Here is a 9,887-nt window from a genome sequence, read left to right on the forward strand (position 1 = left end):
AAATACTGCTCCCTGTGAAGGAAAAGCCAACAATTCAATATTATCTTGGATTTTATTCACCTGAAAAGAAAGCATATCAAAGTTTATCAGGCCACACATATTTGATTGGTTTATTCCCACAGAAGAAAGATATATGGTGTTCATTATCTGGGTTTCTTGTAGATTTGATCATTCATTGCTCAACATCTAATTTTGGGGGGATGATAATATTCACATTCAACAAGTCAACATTCCTCTAACTTAACAGAAAGAGCTATTAATGGACTCTCTCCCTCATATCATTTTTTCACATCAGGCTGATGATAGAGTATCCAAGAGGCCCCCCAAGGCTCTGAGATCCCTTAAATAGATGCTGAGCCAAAGAATGATGTTGTGAGTAAAATGTCAGGTCTCTTCCACAGCGGTGAAGAGAGTAGCAAGGCTGGTTCAAATCATGACATGTTGTGAGAAAAGTTTTTGAACAATAGTCTGTGTTCTCACTCTAGTTATTTATGCTCCTCCTCCATTCACATGAAGTAGGTTTTTATCAGTTAGTCACCAAAAGGTAACCATCTTGCTTGGCATTATTTGCATTTAGGATTTTGGAAATTTTATTTCTATTTTGAATTCATTTGTTTGTTATCTATTTTATTTTTAGCTTCCAGAGTTAAATTAATCACTAGAAAGTATAAAATTATTTCATGTTCTTATGTGGAAAATGAGAAATCATAGAGAAATATATTGAGAATAATTTTAAAAACTAATCTTCACAGTAGCAAGAAATATAAAGAATACATTAAAGGGAAATGAAATTCTACTACTATACCTGGAAGCAATAAGCCAGGACTAGACCAGACGAAGAGCAGCTGCTAGTATTTCAGTGAGAAAGCTGTCTTTTGATCTCTGTAGGGGGTATATCTTTTGACCTCAATAAGAAGATATTTCAGCACAAAGGTTCAAATAGGTAGTTCTTCAGATTTAAATAGCAATTTTTTTTTTATCTTTTGCCAGTTTACTGGATAAAACTGTGTTTCTCAAGTTTTAATGCACATCAGAATAACCCAGAGGATTTATTACAGCCAGATTGCTGCTTTCTAACCCCAGATATCCTCATGCAGTAGGTCTTGGGTGAGGCTCCTCCTGAATTTACTTTTCTAAGTTTCTGGGGGTGTTGATGCTAATTGTCAAGAAACTATATATTGAAAACCACTGGCATAGAATATACTATTGATTTTGTGTACATATGTCCTTATAAGATACTAAATTGTTATTTTACGCCAATAGAGACTCTATTGCCCTCTTTATGTAAACAGCTCTTCTGGTGTGAATCAACATTTTAAAATGGGCCTGTCCTGTAATGGGCAGTAACATTTGAAGAAGAAAGAATATACAGAGGAGCCTTGAATGTGACATAAGGAAGTTTGAGTCTCAGCTTTTTTCACTTTTCTGTGCTCAGTGGCTTGAGATGATCAACTACAGTCAAAGGCTTTCTTTTTCTACAAAATGGGAACAATACTTATCTCCCAACACAGAGCAACAGAAATTTAGTATCTAGTCTCTTTATATTTTTTAAATTGATTGTATATGGCATATATGGAGAAATGAAAGACAAGAATGGTATATGTTAATTAATGGGGGTTGCCTTCAAGGGGAAGAACAGAAGGGAAATACAGCATTTTACTTTGTACATTTCTGCATTGTTTGAGTCTTACATCAGTAATCATTTATGTAGGAATTTTGTACTTAAAACAATTAGAAAGTAAATGATATGTTTTTTAAAAACGATATCAATACACTGACAGGAGGCTTCTGTTTGGAAAGCAGTATTATCTCATAGACAAATTTGTATTTCCCTTCTAAAATACCGATCTGCGAAGGAATCCTTAGGTTTTCTGTTCATGCTAAAATAGAATCCCAAAGCAGTTTCTGTAACCGGTTATTTTTCTTTCAGCCCTAGCTCACACAGTTCCTGTGCTCTGTGTCAAAATGTGCTACTGCTGAGCACTGGGCTTCCCTTGGAGCGGTCAGTGAAAGTGATGTCTAATCAAGAATAACTTTCTCTGCAGGTTTCTTTCCTGTAATTTACTTCCCACTGATTCTCACGGAGGTGATTCCGCAGTGAAAATACAGTCGCTGTTTAATCAGTTCCCTTGATTTCCTTCTGAAATCCATAAGAAGATAGCATTGCAATAACACCCTGTCACTGTGGTGGCTTTAGAAACTTTGGGCATTTTGTCAACAAGCCTTCTCTTAGCAGAACCCTGCACTAGGCACTACAGCTGTGTGTATTAGTCTGTTCTCATGCTGCTACGAAGAACCACCTGTGACTGGGTGATTTATAAAGAAAAGAGATTTAATTGACTCACAGTTCTGCATGGCTGGGGAGGCCTCAGGAAACTTACAATCATGGCGGAAGGCACCTGTTCACAGGGCGGCTGGAGAGAGAATGAGTGTAAGCAGGGGAAATGCCAGACGCTCATAAAACCATCAGATCTCGTGAGACTCACTCATTATCACGAGAACAGCATGGGCAAACTGCCACCATGATTCAATTACCTTCACCTGGTCCCATTCTTGACACATGGGGATTATAGGAATTACAATTCGAGGTAAGATTTGGGTGGGAACACAGAGCTAAGTAAATGATATCACTGGATAGAGAATACAGTAAAATAGAAAACATGGTCTACACCCTGTCTCTCAGCCTAGAGCATAAAGCCAGGAAGAAGGAGTGAGAGATTTGAGTACATGATGAGAAATCAGAAGTGGGTGGAAGGCAGCTAGAAAAAATGAGCAGATGAAGCAAGAAGAGTGAAGAAGAAGACTGGATTGCATTTTCTAAAGAAGGAATATTGAAAAGTTTCAGAGTTAACAACTCTAGCTTTAAAATTTTAATTGTAATGTAAAAGTGAAAAGATGCCAAAATTTTCTGAAGCAACCCTAGGAATAGGGTGTTATTCCCCAGAGAGACTATATGCAGGTTCCATTTCACTGTACTCCCTCCCAGCTGCCCCCATGATCCTTAGCTGAGCTGCCTCAGTTAAGGATCATATTCCAGTGATGGTTTGTCTGAATGTCTGTCTGTATTCTAGACCACAAGTCAGAAGTTCAAAGGCGGAAATTCAGTTCATACTCTGTTTTGCAATGATTACTGTGTTGCTTAAAGGTCACAAATATGTTGAGTAAATAAAAACAGTTTAAAAAAAAAATTAAGTTCCTGAAACATAATCTGATACCGAAAGGCATTGTGAGTTATTTTGAGAAAAATTGTAGATGCTACTAAATTAGGCTCTATGTTTTCCAGTTGCTATTATTTAGAATTCTATGTATTCTAGTTTCATAGCTTCCTTTGGTTGTTTTTCCTTTTATGGAATTCCTAACATATCCATTCTTTTTTTCTTTAATTTTTTCTCAAACTGTCTTCCAAACTAACCTTTCCTTTGAACCTGTGCTTCTTAATTGTCAATGCGATAAAACATATTGGTTCCTTTGTTTTGTTCCTGCATTCTTTTAAACAAACAAACAACGAAATGGAAGGAAATGTGTCAAGGTCGCTATTGAAAATAGAAAACAGAACTCTAAAGGAAGATTGCTACCAAGAGAATTGTTTTTAAATCCAGAGAAAATCACTATGATTTTGTTTTTCTTTGTGTGAGTCCTTTTCTACACATTGATTGTGGCTGTGCCAAGTAACAGAAGGGAAGAGAAAAGCCATTTTAGGACACGCCTGGCAGCATGCAGGTGATTTGGGGCACAGAGGAATTCCAGATCCGCCCACCATAATGAAGTAAAGAAACCACAAGGCCGGGAAGAGACAAGGAAAGAACAATTGAAGACCATTCCAGGGAAGAGATCAGGCCTAATAAGCAGATGCTAACTGGAAGTTCAATTAAGTCAGAATGGAATCTGGGGCAAGAAGAGAAAAGCTGTCAGAGTGAATGAATTAATTTTATAGAGAAGTATAATGCCACACCTATCCAGGTTTATAATCTCAATATCAAATAACAATCATTCTTCAAGCCTAAATCATAGCTTCTTCTGAAATTCTTTCTTGACAACCCCAAAGTGACATGTTTTCTTCTTGGCTCCTTTAGTTCTCAAGGGTGCACTTCTCATTCATTAGCCAACATAGCCTACCTTGTGTCCTGGTTACTTTTCTTGTGTGATGTGTGAACTCTCCTGTGTTGAAGCTTTTACAATTTCTTTTTTGCAACTTCTAGATTGTTTGTCTTTTACTTAAATAAATATTTAACTACTGCGGTGACCATTACATCATATGATCATCTGATGACATCAAAATCCCTCATATGAGTAATACTGTTGTAATCTCAAATCAAGTTCAAAAGAAAAAGACTCTATTCTCTAGCACCTTGCACTGTGTACAAGATTGGTAAATTGATGCCATGTCATTGGAATATGGAAGATGTTCATAAACCAGTCCCAGACATTCTCAGATCCATTTGATTTCCTTGATATGCTTCACACTTTCACACTATCTGAAATTATTGTGTCCCCCTCTTTGTATTTTTCTCCCAACTAAATTGTAAGCTCTGTGTGTGCCAGGAGCATTTCTGTTTTGTTCCCTGACAAATCTTTAGGGCCTAGAAAAGTAGCACTTATCAGGAGCTCCGTATCTGTTGAATGGAAAAACTGCTGTTGATTTTAACCAGATAATATGAAGCCCTATAATCCAAAAGTATTGACAGAGCTTATAAAATTAGGTCCTTAGTGTAAAGAATTAGGCAAGGTCTGTATTGATGTAGAAAGATGTTAAAAGGTGCAAAAGCAAATATGCCATAGGCCTGTCTGCAAAAGGGAGAAATACTTATAGGAAGAGGATAGTACTTTGTGAGTTACAAAGACCAACATGAAGCTTCCAGCTTTCTATTTACCAAGTCTTTAAGACTTGGTAAGTGGAATTATCATCAGTTGTATGGTCTCTACTGTATTTTATGCCTACAAACATTGGTGTTCAAAGTTGTTTTTACAATTAGGCTATACATTTAGTTACACTACTCATACAATTATCTATAGCAGAACTTCAGCCATTTGTCTTGTCTCTTGAAGTCCATCCTTCCATGTTACCTCCTTGGCTTATGTACATTATAGGAGTAACTCATAAAGGACAAAGTGCTCACACACTGGTCTCTGTTCCCTACTGTACTTCAAGAGTAGAAGCATAAGTCAGTGCAGCCACAGAAGAGAGCAAAATGACACTAGTATAGATGAAGATAATCACATCCCAAGCCTTGGGGAAATCTATATGTGCATAAAAAGACATACACAAGAAAGTTCTTTGCAGCCTTGTCAATAAAAGCAACAAATTAGACATAACTTAAAGTTTTATTAACTTGAAAACAGATAAATACATCATGATATATTCACACAAGGGAATATTTCTCAGCAGTCAAAACAAATGAATTACTGCTATATCTCTCAACATGAATAAATCTAAAAACATAATGTGGAGTGGAAAAAGTTAGGTATAACACACTTTATACATAGTTTAAAATTGCAAAAAGCACCATAAAATTTATATATGCATAAATATATAGCAAATGCATATGAGAAAATAAGTCCTGATTTAATAATAGTGTTTACTTCCATGAATAGAAGAAAAGGAGTGGATAAAATTGAGGAAAATACAGGCTCACAAATGTATATGTAATGTTTAATTGATTCTTTCAAAATTTTCAAGAAAAAATATTTCATAGTATTAAGGTAGTTATGCACAAGAGTGTTATATCCTTAATGTACTTGCTGTATGTTTGAAACATTGAAATAATAAATACTTATTTAAACAACAACAACAACAACAACATTTATTTCCAGCCCTGGCCCCAGACCCTAAAGCTGCCGAAATGTTGATGCCTAAGAAGAATCAGATTGCCACTTATGAACTCATTTTTAAGGAGGGAGTCATGGTGGCCAAGAAGGATGTCCACATGCCTAAGCACCCAGAGCTGGCAGACAAGAATGTGCCCAACGTTCACTCATGAAGGCCATGCAGTCTCTGAAGTCCCAAGGCTACATGAAGGAACACTTTGCCTGGAGACATTTCTACTGCGACCTCACCAAGGAGGGTATCCAGTATCTCTGTGATTACCTTCACCTGCCCCCAGAGATTGTGCACAGCCGTCCAGAGAATGGCAGGCCTCGGCCTAAAGGTGTGGAGGGTAAGCAACCTGCAAGACTCACAAGAGGGGAAGCCGACAGAGATATCTGCAGACAGAGTGCTGTGCTCCCTGGTGCCTACAAGAAAGCCGCGGTTGGGGCTGGGTCAACAACCGAATTCCAGTTTAGAGGTGGATTTGGTCGTTGACGTGGTCAACCACCTCAGTAAAATTGGAGAGGATTATTTTGCATTGACTAAACTTACAGAAAAAAAAAAAAAAACACTTGAAAGCCCAAAGGAAAAAGAATATATTCACAAAAGGTGAGTTAAAGTTATTGAAGTTGAAATAAGACTGGCAGAAGGGAAGGAAAGGAAGTGGAACTGAACAAGATGGACAAGATGGAGGAGGGAGCTTGAGAAAGAGATCCAGAGAAATAGATAAGACCTGAAAGAAAAGATGAACTGGGAAAGTCCCAAGTGATAAAGGGTGAGAATGGAGAAGTCATACCAATTCAAGACAGTGGCTCATGAGTCAAAGGGGGAAACAAAATGGAAAACAGAGCTAGCACCGTCTGCAGACCACAATAGGAATATCAGCAAAGACGTATATAAATCACTGTAAAGCAAACAATGTGAAAACATAATTAGTTCCCTTCCTAAGGGTCAATATGCTAGGATAAAGTTAAGGACATTCTAGGAGCCAATTAGCAAAATGCTGCTATTAGAGGCAAGGGTGGCTGGAAGAAAACTATTGTTCTGATTGTTTCTCAAATCTAGTTTAATTGTGCTAGTAGAATGGTGCAGTGATATATGAACTGTAGTAATGGCTCACCCACTTCCACCCTTATAGGTAAGAGGAGGTAAAAGGCAAGAAGATTGTCTTTCCATCAGAGCAATGAAAGAAGGCAGGGTGACACAATAATGCACCAATGCATGCCAAGAGATTCTATTGCAACATCAAACAACAGCAGCATCTCTACGTAGAGAAATGGGTCTCCACTGGACATTCAAACAGGATAATTGATTGTAAATCTATGACGCACCAAAATGTAGAAAATCTTACCTATCAATGGGAACTAGAAGAATATTACAATAAGCCAGGCTGCCATTTATTAAATGGGAACTTGCTGACAGGTATCATATTTCTATTAGTGAAGGAAAAAAAAAAAACACAACCTTCTCAGGAATTTCTATTCATATTAACTGCCTCATCTGACTGTGCACACTTGTTTTTGGCCAGGGAATAGAAAATTTGATATCTTTTCACAGGAGGGTTTCTCTTCTTTAAGTAATCTAGAAAGCAAGATAAGAGAGAAAGAAGCATACAGAACAAGAGAGAAACAGAGTGAATGGCAGAGAGATTGAGAAAATAAATGCCTCCAACCAGAATCAGTTCCATCACCAAGAAAATATTGACAACTATTTTTTCATTAAGGAAATCATAGAAGCTTTTAAACTTCAGACTCTGTTGAATTCTGTAAAAAATCAACTCTGCACTTTCCTTGTTTATCCTTATGTGTCACTAAAAAATAAGAACTCATTCCATGAGTTGGTTAACTACCCTCAGTGTACCTGTTAATTGACTATTTAGATTAACATTATTTTAGAACAAAGAAATCTGTCTCAAGATTTTTAATATTTTTAAAGTAAATACAAAGAATTGGAATAATTTAAGACCTTCAGTGTCAGTCTTTAAAAAACGTAAAAGCATAAGTAAAAATACTTGCGGATAGCCTCTAAAACAGTTTCTTCTTAAGAATAATAATTAATTATTAAACTTGTCTGTACCAGATTATTTATTTTGGGTTGTTTTGACTCGAATTTTGTAGCCATGTTCTCTGCTGTGATAGTCACTTTTTAAACTCTATTTTTAAATGATGTAGCTTCAATTTTGTCCAAATTTCTTCTATGCAATGTAGAGGGCATTTGCAGATACCCAGTTCCCTAATGCAGCAGTCATCTTGTCTCCTGGCTTATTTGCTTATTACAAAGGAACAGATGTGATGGGAAAGGTGATGGGGTGTAAACAGTGCAATTGACTCTTTTTAAGTTTTACATTTCAACTAGAAGTTAGTATATTTGATTTTGCATTAAAATAATGGGATATAGGCCGGGCGCGGTGGCTCACGCCTGTAATCCCAGCACTTTGGGAGGCGGAGGCGGGTGCATCACGAGGTCAGGAGATCGAGACCATCCTGGCTAACACAGTGAAACCCCGTCTCTACTAAAAATACAAAAACTTCTCCGTGGGTGGTGGTGGGCGCCTGTAGTCCCAGCTACTCCGGAGGCTGAGGCAGAAGAATGGCGTGAGCCCGGGAGGTGGAGCTTGCAGTGAGCGGAGATTGCGCCACTGCACTCCAGCCTGGGCGACAGAGCGAGAATCCGTCTCAAAAAAATAAAAAGGGGATATAGTTGTAATATGCCATAACGTTTATGTCTAGAAATGCCAAGGCAACAAGTCAAATGGCTCCTCCAAACTAAGTCCTCATTTTAGAAAATCAGAGGACTTTAGAAGTCTATCTCATAGTTCAATTCCCATGTAACGGACATTGTTGACAGATGATATTCTAGACTGACAATGGGAAGCATGGCCATTTTTTTTCAAGAAATGGTTGATTCAATAACTGAAAAAGTCTTACTGCCCTAAAACACTTGCTTTTAGCAATCTTCATTTTATTCCCCTATATCCTTTTTTTTTAGTTTTTTTTTTTTTTTTAATCATTATACTTTAAGTTTTGGGATATATGTGCAGAATGTGCAGGTTTTTTATATAGGTATACAGGTGCCATGGTGGTTTGCTGCACCCATCAACCTGTCATCTACATTAGGTATTTCTCCTAATGCTATCCCTCCCCTAGTCCACCACCCCTCAACAGGTCCTGGTGCGTAACATTCCCCTCCCTGTTCCATGTGTTCTCATTGTTGAACTCCCACTTATGAGTGAGAATCTGTACTTGGGAACAACCTAGTTCAGAACAACTCCTGCTTCTAAGGTCTTGACAGCCCTCAAAATAATTCATGGCTACTTTATTTTTCTGTCTCTAGCCTTCCCTACTCTAGGATGCTTATCATTAACGTTTGTCAGCAGCACCTCATGGACACAATACACAGACCCTCCATTACCCTGATTGTCCGTGTGCCAGACCACTTTTGGCTCACATTCAGGATGGTGGTTAAAATTCCTGAGCTGTAGAGACAGAGAGAGCTTGGCTGAAATCTCGGCTTTGCTACATTTTAGCTCCATGGCTACTGAGAGGCATGTTGATCACCCCAGGCCTCCTTCACTGAACTTCCCCTTGAATTGCCAGCATCTATATCATTTCCTCCTCAGGAGTGTCCTCAGACTTCAGAAGCCTCTTTTGCCTTTCAATACAAAGAATGGGAGGTACCTAGGAATTTACATGCCCCAGAATGAGCCTTAACAATCACTGTGTTCAGTAAGGGACAACCTCCACAACAGAACTTCTCCGTGCTGATAGACTAAGACTACACTGAGACCTTGAAGCTACATCATTTAAAAATAGAGTAAAAACAAACAAAAAGCCAAAAAACAAACAAAAAAACAAAAAACAAAACAAAACAAAAACCTGAATATCACAGAAAGAGAACATGGCTACAAAATTGAGTCAAAACAACCCAAAATAAATAATCTGGTACAGACAAGTTTATTAATTATTTATTTTAAGAAAAAACTGTTTTGGAGGCTATCTGCAAATATTTTTACTTATGCTTTTATGTTTTTTTAAAGACTGACACTGAAGCTCTTAAATTATTCAAATTCTATGTATTTACT

The 9,887-nt window shown here is 37.6% G+C and overlaps 1 pseudogene, besides 1 other annotated feature; it reads left to right on the plus strand.

Moving 5' to 3' along the window:
• On the plus strand, positions 5,805-6,368 carry RPS10P12 (ribosomal protein S10 pseudogene 12; annotated as a pseudogene).
• Positions 9,079-9,670: an enhancer, noted in NCBI's record as "OCT4-NANOG hESC enhancer chr5:50574325-50574916 (GRCh37/hg19 assembly coordinates)". NCBI's record gives its function as "activates a minimal SCP1, AML or CMV promoter by ChIP-STARR-seq in primed H9 embryonic stem cells {active_cell/tissue: H9 hESC(primed)}" and the evidence as "EXISTENCE:reporter gene assay evidence [ECO:0000049][PMID:30033119]".

Source organism: Homo sapiens, chromosome 5 (assembly GCF_000001405.40).
Source record: "Homo sapiens chromosome 5, GRCh38.p14 Primary Assembly".
In the NCBI taxonomy this organism is placed as follows: Eukaryota; Metazoa; Chordata; class Mammalia; order Primates; family Hominidae; genus Homo; species Homo sapiens.